Here is a 16,109-nt window from a genome sequence, read left to right on the forward strand (position 1 = left end):
CCTCACCTGTAGAGATATGCATAGAATGAAAGTTAAAGGATGGAAAATGATATTCCTTGCAAATAGAAACCAATAGCAAGTATGAGTAACTGTATCTATATTGGATAAAACAAACTTCAGTAAAAAGCTGTAAAAAGAGACAAAGGCAAACATTATATAGTAATAAAGGTAATAATTTAATTCAAGGAGCAATCTTGAATTGTTTCCAGTCTACTTTGGTCACTACCTTAGGAGACTTTTTTTTTAAGAGACAGGACCTTGCTATGTTGCCTAGTCTGGACTTGAACTACTGGGCTCAAGCAATCCTCCCACCTCAGCCTCCCAAGTAGCTGGGACTACAGGCACATATAATCATGCTTGGCTTTTTAAAAACATTTTGCAGGCAGTCACCAGGTTATGTTTAACATGCAAGTCCTGGCCTACTTTTATTGGCTATGGTTCCAATAATAGTTCAACTTTCATAACTTCTGTGGTGTTATTTTCATCTGCTTGATTTACCTAGTTCCACTAGAGCTTCCAGTAATCCCTACTGGTGCCACCTAAGAGGACAGAAGGAGCTGATCTAGACCAGGCACATGTGAGGAGATACCTACCCCCATTGGTGTTGCCCAACAAACTAGTGTCCTTCGGTGGAAAATGGAATCTCCATCCTTCAGGAATACATAGCACACTTTTTAGACTAGTTGCCCATTGTGGCTTGTTCCCTCTTCCTGTTGCCAATAAGCCACTTTTATCTCTAGGTAGAGGAAGTAATTATCTTGCTTCCAGGAGTCAAGAGACTAAGCTACTCTTTGTGTCAGTATCTTCCTTGATATTACTGCCTGGTGTCTTCTGATGTGGGAGAGAACGTCCTGGTCTAGCAGGAACAGAGAGTAGCTCTCCTGACTGCTTATTGTCAGCAAAACTTCCAGTTAATCTTCTTTGTCAGAGTTGCCAGGCTCACTTCATGTTGTTCTTGAAATTCCTGCTCCAACTGGTGGCAGATGGGGGATGGGGAATGAGCCTACCAAAGCTTTCTTGTATTGCTAAGGTGGGAGACATGAGGTTCCTGGCTTGAATCCCCTTTTAATGTTAAGTGGGGGACCAAGACACCCTGTAGTTCCTCTAATTCCTGGAGTCCCTAATGTGTCATTTTATTCTTTCATCCTTTCAGAATTCTCCTTTGGTGGCCTCTTACATTATTTTCACAGTTTATAGTTCTACTTTTTGGGGAAGAAAATGGATAAAGGAATTAGACAATCTTGGCCAATACTGAAGTCCTAGCTTCATTTTTATGTATCCTATCCATTATAAAATAACTTGGGTTATCTTTCTTTTTATTTACTTATTTTTCTAATTTCAACTCTTATTATAAATTAAAGTGTACATGTGCATGAGTAAATTGCATAACAGTGAGGCTTCAGGTCCCAATGATCCCACATCCAGACCATAAGTATAGTACCCAACAGGTGGTTCTTCAGCCCACACCCCCTCCCTCCCTCCCACATCTAGTGAGCCCCAGTGTCTGTTGTTCTTATCTTTGTGATCATGTGTATTCAATGTTTAGTTCCCACTTAAATGTGAGACCATGCGGTATTTGGTTTTCTGTTCTGGCATTAGGTCATTTAGGAAAATAGCCTCCAGCTGCATCTATGTTGCTGCAAAGGACATGATTTTATTCATTTTTATGACTGCATAGTATTTCATGGTGTATATGTACCACATATACTTCACTGTTGATGGGCACTTAGGTTGATTTTATGACCTTGCTATTGTGAATAGCACTGTAATGAATATATGGCTGCATGTGCCTTTATGATAGAATGAATTATTTTCCTTTGGGTATATACCCAGTAGAGGCATTGCTGGGTCAAATGGTAGTTATATTTTAAGTTCTTTGAGAAATCTCCAAGCTGCTTTCCACAGTGGCTGAACTAGTTTGCATTCCCAGCAACAGTGTATTTTATTTTCTCCATAGACTGAGGAGAATCAGTTCTGGTTTTTTCTTTTGTTTTGTTTTTTTGTTTTGCCTTTTTAATTATTGCTATTCTGACTGGTGAGAGATGGTATCTCATTGTGGTTTTGATTTGCATTTCTCTGATGACTAGTGATGTTCAACGTTTTTTTCATGTTTGTTGGCCTCTTGTATACCTTCTTTTGAAAAGTGCCTGTTCATGTCTTTTGCCCATTTTTATTTAGACTGATTTTTAGCTTGTTGATTTGTTTAAGTTCCTTGTAGATTCCGGCTGTTAGACCTTTGTCAGATGCATATTTTACAAATATTCTCTCCCATTCTGTAGGTTGTCTTTTTATGCTGTTCATAATTTTTTTTTTTTGTTGTGCAGAAGCTCGAGTTTAATTAGGTCCCATTTATCTATTTTTGGTTTTGTTGTGATTGTTTTTGGTGAGTTAGCCATAAATTCTCTGCCAAAGCCAATGTTGAGCAGGGTATTCCCTAGGTTTTCCTCTAGGATTTTTATAGTTTTCAGTCTTACATTTAAATATTTAATCCATCTTGAGTTAATTTTCATATGAGAGGTAGGGTTCAAGTATCATTCTTCTGCACATGGCTAGCTAGTTATTCCAGTGTCATTTATCGAACAAGGAGTCCTTTCCTTATTTATTATTTCTGTTGATTTTGTCAAAGATCAGACAGTTGTAAGGTGTGCAGCTTTGTTTCTGGGTGCTTTATTCTGTTCTACTGGTCTATGTGTCTGTTTTAGTATCAGTACCATGCTGTGTTCGTTACTGTAGCCTCATAGTATAGTTTGAAGTCAGGAATGTGATATCTCCTGTTTTGTTCTTTTTGCTTAGGATTGCTTTGGATTACTTGTCTTTCTAAAAGTCAATTCATGTATCTTTTATGATTAAAGCCTCTTAATCTTTTCCTATATAGGGACCAGTCACATCAAAATCTCCTGGGATATTTGCCAAAATGCAGATTTATTGGTCTTACACACAAAAATGAATGAGATTCTTTGAGGAAGCACAATTTTACTGAAGTTCTGTTATACTGACATTTTAAAAATTACAACAGTTGTATCAGAAATCTAGAGCACAAAATAAGATTGGTAAACCTTAATTACTCATCATTTCTAAATACTGACTTGCACTAAAAGAAAATAGTAAATGAAATTATGCAGTACTGATTGAGATATTTTATATAAATTATAATTCAATTGATCAAATTAATTGGGTTGATTAGATGTAGAAAAATCATATTTTATGAATTATTTTGGAGTCACTTTTAAAACTGAGAAAACTGCCCATGGATTATATGGTGTGCTGAGTACTACATTATAATTAAGATTACATTTGCAGTATATGTAAATATTATGATCTTGAAAAATGTCCTTTGAGACAATGTAGTCCTATCAAGGTTCAGTTTTGCCAGCTTTACAAATATGGCAATTTTCTCAATGGCATTTTTACTAACAGCACAAGGGGAAACCCATTTGCTGCTTTAAATGAAAGATTACTTACTGCTCTTTTTCTAGAACACCCTGTAATCCAAGGCACAGTAAGGTTTCCTGAAATCTGTGAAAACAATAAATGGAATCTCAGTAAGCTATTTATTGACAGTACTTGGAATGTTGATCAACACCAAAGATTTCACACACTATTTCAAGATAAATCTGCATTCAGAACATATTCCCCACGTATAAAATGTTGTTTCCTTATTGAACTCAACAGATTTTAAGGGGTCTTTTTTGGTGAAAAAAATTGAAAAGTGGGGCAGACTTCTGGGAATTCAAAAGAAAGGTTCTAAGGCATTGTTGGGGGCCCTACGATTGTTGGGACTCTGTTGCAAGTTTTAAAATCTATAGATAATACATTTGTTATAATAAAAATTCAATGCTTTTTGAAGTGAAGAAGTTACAAGAAGTATAGAATAGAGTAGGCCCCCGTATCCACAGATAATATACTCTGAGACACCCAGTGGATGTCTGAAACTGCAGAGAGTACTGAACTCTATATATACTACATTTATTCTTATACATACATGCTTATGAAAAAGTTGAATTATAAATTAGTTAAGAAATGAACATAATAATAAAATAAAACAGTTATGACAAAGTACTGTAATAAAAGTTATGTGAATGTGGCCTTTCTCGAAATATCTTATTGTACTGCACTGCAAGTTACTGTAACCATGAAAAAGAAAACCATAGATAAGGGAGGACTACTGTAGTCATATTTTAAATAGGGCTTTACCACAAAGCAAGAGATGACTTCATAATGAATGATGTGCACTATAAACTACTTAAACACATTACCTCTATTTACTTTGTAAACTCAGCACTGACTAATGGATTTATTGCTACATGTGTTTTCTTAATACAAATCTTAGACCTACAGTATAAATGACTGAAACAATGTTTCTCCAAATAGTGGCCTCAATAGAAGTCTATTCACTATGCCCTATACTCTTTCTTGCAAAATGGTGAATTGTATATTTTAATAAGCCCATTTGTTTAATGAAATATTCTCTTTGCATAAATAATGTATGACTGAAAAAGAAAAAGTAAACCTTTAATCATTATTATATATACATCAAACCTCTCTAGATAAAAATGTGTTTGATAAAATTTGTTCTTTTTGAATTATGTCCCAGTGTCTAGTTTTGGTAGTAAAGTTTAGCAATGTTGCAATCTTGAGGAGATATTTCTTGCATATTATACAAGTATTTTATACTTGAGCAAATACTTTCTGATAATTTCCCAGAAATGGTGAAATATGTTGACCTTTACTAATGGGGCAGGGTATTGTGGTAGTTATGGATATATTCAAGTTCAATACATTCTCATTTACCTAAGTACTCACACCCAAAATTGAAATAATCTTCCTACAAATCCTATTCAACTGTATGGTAGTCCTTTTTTAGGTAGAAACCACTAAGACAAATGGCCAGTAACACCTTATTACCTCAGCATTGCTACACAGGTAGACAGATGCTACTCTAATGGGATTTTAGGGAGCATTTACAAAGACAAAGTAGTCTGTTACCTGTGGTTCAGGTTAGTCTGGACTTAACTATGCTTTATCATAGGACACACAAGAATTGGGGTGTACTTCTCACTTGCTCTTTCCTTCCCTTCCAAACAGATACCTCCTGAGAGACTGACAAGGCAAATCAGTCTCAGTAGGTCATTGAAGTGAGAACAAGGCATTCAATAAAATATTTAATGTTTTTCATAAATTATAAGCAGTAATGACCTAAATAGTATTATGCCTATTGACAAGGAGTGATGATCAATGTGAATAGTAAATTAATATTCTCAGTTATTCAAACTTCAGGTAAGCTGTTACTATTCCTGGCCACCAGACCTGCCATTTTACTTTGAGTTACAAGTATGCCAAAATGCAAGGAATAAGCTAAACATGATATAAACTCCAAATAATACTTTTAAGGAAAAATAAAAAATATTTTTACTCAAGATAAAATACTATTACAGTAAAATAGCAATTAACTGGAATGCTAGGGGTTAATGAGAAGGTGTGAATAATTGATTTTTTAATGATGAGCTGAAGGTGATAGGAAATTTATTCTCAAAAATTATTCAAAATGTATTTTTTCTTTTTATCCCACCAATGTGTGTTAGGGTTTGAAAATTCATTGTTAGCCTCAGTGAGGGAAATACATCCGCTTAAATAATATAATATAATCTAGAAAAAATATAGATACCAAGTGTTTTGGATTATCTGTTCACATATTCTTTTCCATTAGTAAAATAATTCAAAATTGACCATATAGAATTTCTAGAAAATATATGATAAACCAAATGAATTACAAACAAAACAAAACTTTAAACCAGTAACTGCTAAAATATTACATATGAAATGATAAAGATGATACAACAAACATTGTAATAGAATTTGTATAAACACTGACTATACATTTGAGAAATATAAAATGTGGTTTTCTGTTTAAGTCAATTGTGTGTAAGGAAGAAAATACAAAACTCCTATAAGCACATAGTATGCAAATATTATAAATTCCATCTGATTTTGGAAGAAGTTTCACTTTTTTGTTTTATAATTCTGTGTCAGCAGTTACATGATACTCAAATGTTATATTTAACTAATCTCTCACGTTTACTTCAAATCCATTGTTCAGTTCATTACATTTCTGGTAGAACTCAGGAACAGCTGGTCAGAGTAATTGAATTTGTAGGCTTTTTTGAATAAATGTCTTTCCTCAAATTTGGGAAGCTTTATTTGGTGAAATATTGATGGTATATTTCTCATTCACCAAAAGCTATGAAATGCAATATTCAGATTAGACGGGTAATACACATCTCACTTAAATGATATTTCAATTCCAAACTCACTTTAAACAGACTGGTTTGGAAAACTATGAAATAAATCTTCAACGAGATGAGACTGATTTAACAAATATATTAGAACATACACATCCAAAAGAGTGCTGTACATTTCCAAGTAGAAAATTTGGAGTGTTATAAACTCATTACAATGATGTTGACATTATTCAAAGCATTCTGGGAACTTTCCTTTTAGAATTATCAGTTCATGCCTCACCCAGAGATTTTGTCTCATTGCACTCCTTTTATTTTAACTGAAAATATAACAGCCCCAATTGAACATTCATATTAGTCACTAAACGTGGCTTAGAATAAATTCTGGCTATTTTTTAAAATCAAATGTTCCCTCAAATGAGAATTATTTGTCACTACTGAAGCACTTAAAAAAGTTCCGCCAGCTCCTAAAGCAATTGTGAAAGAACTTCAAAAACTTTTGACAAAATCGAACATTACTGAAATAAGTATATATAACTTTCCAGTCAGGTATTTCTTCTATATGTGGTGCTGTTTTAGAGTGCTACAGGAAATAAAAGATCAGTAAAAGATAATTTCCTGGGTAGCAAGAACTATTGCTTGAGAGTAAGAGATAAGACAGGTACATGAATGTCTTTACTACAAAGAAAACTGTTAAATGTCACAAGGGAGGTACAATAAATAAAGTGCAACAAGAGCTCAAAATATGACAAAATTACATCTACTTGTGAATTGATAGCTTAATCTTAAAAGATGTGTAGAACTCTAACAGAAATAAAAAACATCAGCCTTTTAGGGGAAAAAAAAGAATGGCATGAGCACGGTGGAATAAAAAGACAGGATGTATTTGGGGAATGGTCAGTTCAACTAGAACTAGAAAGGGGAGTTAAGGTCCCTGTGTGGAGATCATGAATGGCAAAGTGCATTTATATCTAATTCTGTAGAAAATAGGTAGCCATTGAGGGCATTCAAACAGACGTATGGTATGATCAGAAATGTATTTTTATACAGTACAAATCTTAGATGTCTATGTGTGTACAGTAAATTAAAGAAGTACAAAAACTATTATAATAGTTTGGAAGAGAAGTAATTCAGGCTTGGAACCAGGGTAAGGAGGTAGGAATTAAGAAGAGAAATATAAGGCACACTACTGAAGAAAGGCCTTATGTGTAAGATAGAAGAGAACTAAATAGTCTGGAGATAATGGAAATAGTCCTGTTATGGCTAACTGCTTCCCAGAGTGCCTGGTCTGCTGGAGCTAACGGAGAATTGCAACTTTAAAAGTAAATGAAAGAAAGTGTACTTACTGTTGGAAATCTGCATCTCATGGCTAAGAGTGGATACACAACGAAAATAATGCACTTATTTAGATGTATACTGGAGTCACATCAAATGTATACTTAAGGTTCGTGAATTCAACTATAACACACTTGCCAGTCTCATGTAAAATCATACTTTAAATAGACTCTACATATCAAGATATCAATTATATATGATATGTCTTCATTACTGTACATGGTTGTACATTCATAAGAAGGCATGCAAATAGTTAAGTTTTATAGATGATTTAGGTATTCTTAAAGGAATTTTTGCTGTTTTATTTTACACAATTTAGACCCCACATATGAATCCGCTTTAATGTTTCTGCTAGATTATTAGATTGTCAAGAGCAAAATACCAAGTTTTAAAAATTTATTCTAATTATTTTATGTAGTCACACAGAGATTATATGTTAAAAACATTCATTTGATTTCAAAAATATGTTGTAAAGACAATTCTATGTATATGTTGAACATCCTATTTTAAAAATCTGAGACCAACTTATGAGGCTAGAAAAGCTACTATCTGATATATACTGCATTTTATGTGAGCCAGGAAAATGGAGTATTTGATTACTTAGCATTTTGTTAAATGGTATTTGATTAAATGAAGCAATCAAGAAATAACCAGACCTCTCAAAAGAATTCAGCAGTAAGAGACTCATAAATCAGTGTTTTAGCTTTCCATCAGTTGTTTTAGTATTAGCTGAGCATAGAAACCTATCAATCACTCTGCTTTAATAGGCAGAGTTTCCTAATTTTTTTTTTCAACTATGAGGTGTACAGCACAGAGAACATTGCTGGGCATATGATAGCACTCAATAAATATTTACTGATTGACTAATTGAATTAACTTGGGCATTTATTATTCACTAGCTGTAATTTGCTGAAATTTAACAAAAAGCCAAGAGTGACAATATATATGAGACTAATGCATGGGGTAAGGAGCTGTGGAGGAGGGGAGTAAATTATTTATGATTGAGAACAATGTGTTCTGGAGCAAAGAAAAAAAGATGTCTTGGTGTATATAAAATATTTTCCTCTTTTCTCTCTACAAAGTCTTCAGAAAAGTTTTCAGAAATTAGAATGCCTTTACAAATTAAAGTTTCAATGCTACAACTTTTGGATAAACAACTAACATATTTTTAAGCATATGAATTTTTCTTCTATTATGTGATAGAAATCTGGTGCTTAGAAAACTATTAGCCTGGAAAGTTCATCTAATTGAAAACCAAAATGCTATTTGAAATTTGTTTTTATACATAGTAGTAAAATTTTACAAACTACAAGAAATTAAAATCAGGGAAACTAGAATTCTAAGATGTTTCAGAATTATAAAATTCTAAGATGTTTCAGAATTATAAAAGGTACTCAGATGTAACATTACAAACCAAATTCGTCCTACTGATTCTTGAGATATTCCCTGTTAAAAATAATGGAAGATAAAAATAAAATAATGTAAGTTAATATGTGGAATGTTTATCTTCTTATCCAAAGGCACTAAAGAATAAACAATCACAAATCTAGAGCCCCTAAAATTATGTTCTCTAGCATATTGTAAATAAAATATTATATTAATTCTACTCAGGTAAAAAAATAGAAATTTGGGAAATAAAAAAGCTCTTTACTAATTTCAGAATATAAATTGTCAATGTTAGCTTTAAATTCTAAATACATTTATATAGTTGAAATGAAGCAGTGTATTACATGCACATTCAGAGATCAGTTCATCAAACAACAAAAGATTTATTGCTTTTGTCAGGCTACCCATATTTACTGGGCTGGAATAGAATGGTTACCATGAATCACAACTCTGTATCTTTTCTTTGCATATGACTACATGTTGAACCAAAAGATAGGTTTTTAAAATAAATCAAACACAATGTCTGTTTGTTGCATTAACACTGTATGGACTGATACATTTATTCTGTAATTAAAAAAAAAACCAGCAGAAAGAAGTAAGCAAGATGAAGGCCTAGGTAGCTATAGATCCTTGTCCTCCCATGTAAATATTAAATAAACAACTAGTGACTAGTTGAAACAACTTTATACTAGTTCTTGAAACCATATTCACAGCAACCAATTGAGTGTACAATCAAGAAAATGTCACATTCAAAATAGTAGGAGATTTCACAGTGTTTTTATTTGCCTTGTTGCACCCTTTCCTGGTATGGCAGGGCACAGTTTGGGGGAAGTGTGGTGGCCTGATCCCCAGTCTCTTCTGTGAGTAAGAGAGTGTGAGGTGGACTGAATTTGCAACATTTTAATCTGTCTGGGGTCTGCCTGAGGAATTTGTCTCTTTATCTCCTAATTTGGAGTTTAGACAGCCAATAGTGGCACATCTCAGATCTCAGGCTAGTGGAATTGGTGAGAAGCAGTGAACAAAGCTCATGAAAACCTCAGAGAGACTGAAGACCCATGGACCCTTGGGGAAAGAGATTACTAATTGAGGAATATATAGAGCAGCTAAGGGTTCTGGAAGATGCCGGAATGACACTAGAAAATCTAGATATTTTAAAGTAGCCACATAGAGCAGGGGCTTCAAGATGGCTGGCTAGAGACATCTGGTATTCACCTCCTCCACAAAGAAGAAACAAAACAGCAAGTAGATAATCACACTTTGAATAGATCACCTAATAGAGAAGGCTGGAATTCAACAAAGAAGTGACAAAACACCTAAGGCAAGGAAGGAGAGGGGAGCAAAGCAGCCTACTGGGCCAGTGGGAGCTAAGAGCCTAGAGAGGTTCCCCAATACAAGTAAAGAATAAGCGAGTGACACCCAGTAGTACACATTTCTACCATGGATTCCTGCAATCTTAGCCAATGGAAAGTGCCTCAACTCACTTAGGCCCTGAAACTAACAAAGGAAGCTGCTTGAAGATGAGGTGACAGCATTGCTCCAGAGAGGGAGCTCACACCAGGTCCCCCCCACACACCAAGTCCTAAACAGTTACACCAAGATGCCACTTTGAGAGGCCAGTCCCTACCGGATTGCTTCCTGCCCTGCCTCTCCAACAGCTCCTGCATCTCCGAATCCCTGAAGCCTAATTGTCATCATCCACATGAATCTGGGCAGTGATGCTGACTGCTACCACCAGGGCTGAAGCACAACCCATTGGCTGTAATCCTTCTGCCTCTAGTATCAGGGCTGCCTCACATTTAATAGCACCTTGAGAAAAGGCTGCCATACTTACAACTCCCACCTGTGACTGAGATGCCTGCTACCCAGCCACCTGTTCAGGATGCTGCCACTGAAAACAATCTCACCCTCCCCAGTAGCAGAGCTGCAGCACAGCCACTGCTATCCCCACCAAGCATTCTGTAAAAGCCTGGCAATCACCATGCTCCAGCCTACCACAGCCAGTGCCTGCATACACCATTGAGGGCTAGAGGACAGGCCTTCCTGGCTCAGCTTCATCCATCCCAATGCCTGAGCACACTGTCAGTGCCTGTAGGTTACCCCGCCCCATCCACCACATTTGGCACTACTCTTGAGTGCCTGAGGACAGGTCCACCCAGCCCATCACAGCCACTGTCAACAGCAGGATGAACTGTGTGGGAGACAGAGGATTGTCCTGCCATGGCTGCTGTCATCACTCAGGCCACATTGCTGCTCAGGGTCCCAAGGACTCACCCACCCATCCAGGACATGGCCAGCACCTGAGGAAGCTGGCTGGAGGCCCAAGAATCACCACAACTGTATCTGTTAATACCAGTGCCAGAGTATACTGCCCTGGGGCCCAAGGACAAGCAGACTCAGCTTGCCACAGCCACTGAGGCCCATCTGAATGTCTCTGTTCCCAGCAAAACTTCAACATAGTCTCCACTAAAAATCACACCCTAAGCACTGAGAAAATGACAGACACTACTGATGCTGTTTACAGGTGAGGAAATCATGCAAGGACTATGCTAATGGACACACCGAGAATGAAAGCCAAAGTGCCCTACACAACAAACACCATAGATACATCTTCAGGAAAAAGTGCTCCCCTACAAAAGGAAATTAAAAATATTGGAAGAGGCAACTGTTATACCAGATGCTCAGATGTCAATGAAAATACATAACATGAAAAGACAAGGAAATATGATACCTCTAAAGGATCACAATATTTATTCAGCAACAGATTATATTCAAGAAGAAATTAATGAAAACCAGAAAAAATAATTTAAAATATTGATTATAAAGCAGCTCAGGGAGATACAAGATAATTCAGAAAAATAATACAAAGAAATCAGAAAAACAATTCAGGATATGAAAGAGAAATGTACTAAAAAGATAGATATCATTTAAAAAAGAAATTCTGGAAAAATTCATGGAATCAAATAAAAAATCTAAAAAATTCATGGAATCAAATAAAAAATATATTCAAACTTCAACAATAGATCACACCAAGCAGAAGAACGAATTTCAGAATGGGAAGATAGGTCTTTTGAAATAACCCAGTCAGACAAAAAACAAAAGATAAAAAAGAATGAATAAAGCCTACATGACACACAGAATACCATAAAGTGTCCAAATATTTAATTTTATTGTGTCCAAGAAGGCAAAAAAAGAAAAAAGTCAAAGCAATAAAAAACCTATTTAGTTAAATAATGACTGAAAACTTCAAAAGTCTACCAAGAGATTTATGCATCCAAATGCAGGAAACTCAGAGATCCACAAAGAGATACAATGCTAAAAGGTCTTCTCTATGGCATAATACAGTAAAACTGTCAAAAGTCAAAGGCAAAGAGAGATTCTGAAAACAGCAAGAGAAAAGTATCTAGTCACCTTTATAAAACCCACATCAGACTAACACCAGATTTCTCAGTAGAAACTTTACAGGCCAGGAGACAGTGGAATGGTATCTTCAAAGAGCTGAAAGAAAAACAACCCTGCAAGCCAAGGATATTATACTCAGTAAAGTTATTCTTCACAAATGAATACGAAATAAAGTATTTCCCAGACAAACAAAAGCTGCAATTCACCACCACTAGACTCACCCTGAAATTGTTTAAGGGAGTCTGACATGTTGAAGTGAAAGACAATACTAGCATCATGAAAACACATGAAGGATAAATCCCACTAGAAGAGCAAACACACACATGAGAAAGGGAAAAGACTCCAATGTTACCGTTACAGAAAACTATCAATTACATTTGTAAACAATAAAAGTAAAAGGAAAGAACAATCCTCAGCAAACTATCACAAGGACAAAAAACCAAACACCACATGTTCTCACTCACAGGTGGGAATTGAACAATGAGAACACATGGACACAGGAAGGGGATCATCACACACCGGGCCTGTTGTGGGGTGGGGGGAAGGGGAGGGATAGCATTGGGAGATATACCTAATGTTAAATGATGAGCTAATGGGTGCAGCACACCAACATGGCACATGTATACATATGTAACAAACCTGCACGTTGTGCGCATGTACCCTAAAACTTAAAGTATAATAAAAAAAAAGGAAGGAACAAAGGATATTATTAAAAACCACCAGAAATCAACTAGTAAAATGACAGGAATAAATATTCACATATCAATTATGATTTTGAATATAAATGAATTAAACTTTCCACTTAAAATATATAGACTGGCTAAATGGACAACAACAAAAAAAACCATCACTCCACTATATACTGCCTACAAGAAAGCAATCTCACCTATAAAGGCACATATAGACTGACAGTAAAGGGATGGAAAAAAATATTCCATGCAAATGAAAACAAAACAAGAGCAGGAGTAGCAATACTTAGATAAAACAGACTTTAAGTAAAAAACAATAAAAAGAGAAAAGGAAAGTCATTATACAATGATAAAGGGATCAATCCAGCAAAAGGATATAAAAATTCTAAGCATATATGCCCCCAACACCAGTGCACCAAGATATACAATGCAAATATTATTAGATTGGGGAAAAAAGAAGAGACTCCAACACAAGCGTAGTTAGGAATTTCAACTCCCCACTTTCAGCATTAGACAGATCATCTAAACAGAAAGTTAACAAAGAAATACTGTATTTAAACCATAAATTACATCAATTGGACTTAAAACACATTTACAGAATATTTCATCAAATGGCTACAGAATACACATTCTTCGCAACAGCATATGGAACATTCTCCAGTACAGACCACGTGTTAGGACACAAAACAAATCTCAACAACCACTTTTTTAAATTACAACTATATAGAGTATCTTCTTAGACCACAGTGGAGTTAAACTAGAAATCAGTAACAGGAGGAACTTTGGAAAACTTACAAATACATGGATATTAAACAACATGCTTCTGAAAAAGAGGGAAGAAATTAAAGAGAAAATTTTTTAAAAGTATTAAAACAAATGAAAATTGAAACAAAGCATACCAAATATAGGTACAGCAAAAGCAATGCTAATGTAAAAGTTTAAAGCAATAAACGCCTAGATGAAAAATTTAGACAGAATTGTATTAAATGAATTAACTTCAAAAATGAGTAAAACACCAACAAACCAAACACAAAATTAATAGAAATAAAGGAATAATAAATATCAGAGCAGAACTAAACAAAATAGACACTAAAAATATATAAACTATCAACAAAATGAAAAGTTGCATTCTTAAAAGATAAACAAATTTGATAAACTGCAAGCTAGACTAACCAAGAGAAAAAAAGAAGACATAAATAAATAAAATCAGAAATGAAAAATAGACATTGCAACTGATACTACAGAAATACAAAAGATCATCAGAGACTATAAAGAACAACTATACACTAGCAAACTAGAAAACCTAGAGGAAATGGATACGTTTCTGGACACAAACAACCTACTAAGATTGAATTTAAAAAGAAATAGAAAACCTGAAGAGACCAATAAAAATTACTGAGATTGAATCAGTAACAAAAAAAAAAATTCTACCAGAAAAGAAAAGTCCAAGACTGAATGACTTCACTGCCAAATTCTATGAAACTTACAAGGAAGAAGTAAAACAATTTCCCCTGAAACTATTCCAATAAAATTGAAGAGGTGGGAATTTTCTCTAATTATATAAGGCCAGCATTACCCTGATACCAACACTAGACAAGGATGCAAAAAAAAACAAATATTTTAAGCCGGTTACCCTGATTAATACAGATGCAAAAACCCTCAAGAAAGTTCTAGCAGAATGAATTCAACTGTACATCAAAAAGTTAATACAAAATGATCAAGTGGAATTCTTCCCAGGGATGCTAGGATGGTTCAACACATACAAATCAATTAACATGACACATCATATCAATAAAATGAAGGACAAAAGCCTTGTTGTCTCAATAGATGCAGAAAAGCATTTGATAAAATTCAGGATCCCTTCATGAGAAAAACAACATAGTGGGCCCAGAAGGAATGTACCTCAACATAACAAAGGACAAATATGAAAACCAACAACTAACATCATACTGAATGATAAAGGCTGAAAGTCTTTTTCTGGGAACTGGAAGAAGATAAGCATGCCTATTTTCACCTCTCCTAGTCAACATAGTAATGGAAGTCCCATCCAGAGTAATCAGGCAAAAGAAAAAATAAAAGGCAGCAACATTGGAAAATAAGTCAAATTTTCCCTCTTTGTAGATGACTTGATCTTCTCTCTAGGAAAAACCGGAAAATCCACCAAAATAATTCTTAAATCAGATAAATTCAGTAAAATTGGAGACAGAAAATCAACATATTATAATAAGTAGCATTTCAATAATCCAATAATAAATTAGCTGAGGAAAAAAAATCAATAAGGCAATGCAATTTACAATAACTACAAAAAATAGCTAGGAATAAATTTAACCACAAGGGCAAAAGAATTCTACAAGGAAAACTACAAAACACTAATGAAAGAAATTGAAGAAGACACAAACAGAAGGATCTCTTAAGCTCATTACAAAAAAAAAAAAAAAGTCAGCTGAAAGCATCTCATTACCTGACTTGAAAATACATGACAAGGACAAATAGCATGGTACTGGTATATAAACAGACATGTAGAGCAATGGATCAAAATAGAAAACCCAGAAATAAATCCACAACGGGAATAAGGCAATAGGACAGAGGCAGTAAGAATGTGTGTTAGAGAAATGATGCCCTCTTCAATAAATGCTACTAGGAAGATTGCATATCCATATGAAGAAGAAGAAACTAGACTCCTGTATATCACAATATGCAAACATCAACTCAAGATAAAACCTTAAACATAAGACTCAAAAATATAAAACTACTGGAAGGAAACATAGGGGAAATACTTCAAGCCATTAGTGTAGACAAAGATTTTATGGCTAAGACCTCAAAAGAAAAGGCAACAAAAACAAAAATAGATAAAAGGGACTAAATTAAACAGCTTCCCCATAGAAATGGAAACAATAGAGTGGATAGAAAACCTGTTGAATGAGAAGAAATATTTGCAAACTCTTCATCTGACAAGGGACTATTCATTCAGCATACACGACAGACTCAAACAACTCAACAACTAAAAGACAATTTCATCAAAAATTGGCTAATTAGAGAAAGGCAGTGCAAACTGGCCAATTAG

The 16,109-nt window shown here is 34.7% G+C and overlaps 1 protein-coding gene across 13 annotated transcripts in view; it reads right to left on the reverse strand.

Moving 5' to 3' along the window:
• The window catches only part of HDX (highly divergent homeobox), a 184,576-nt gene that overhangs the window by 119,192 nt on the left and 49,275 nt on the right, over window positions 1–16,109 (reverse strand). For 9 of the 13 annotated variants that reach the window (XR_001755652.2, XR_938392.2, XM_017029274.2 and 6 more), the window contains one exon: window positions 3,463–3,516. The exons of the other annotated variants lie outside the window; for them this stretch is intronic. Coding sequence is in view for 7 of the 9 variants with exons in the window: in XM_017029274.2 (XP_016884763.1) it covers window positions 3,463–3,516 (54 nt within the window). In the remaining 2 variants the exon portion in view is untranslated. The remainder of the gene's footprint in view (window positions 1–3,462; window positions 3,517–16,109) is intronic. 13 annotated transcript variants of the gene reach the window in all.

The sequence above is a fragment of the Homo sapiens genome, chromosome X (assembly GCF_000001405.40).
Source record: "Homo sapiens chromosome X, GRCh38.p14 Primary Assembly".
Taxonomy (NCBI): domain Eukaryota; kingdom Metazoa; phylum Chordata; class Mammalia; order Primates; family Hominidae; genus Homo; species Homo sapiens.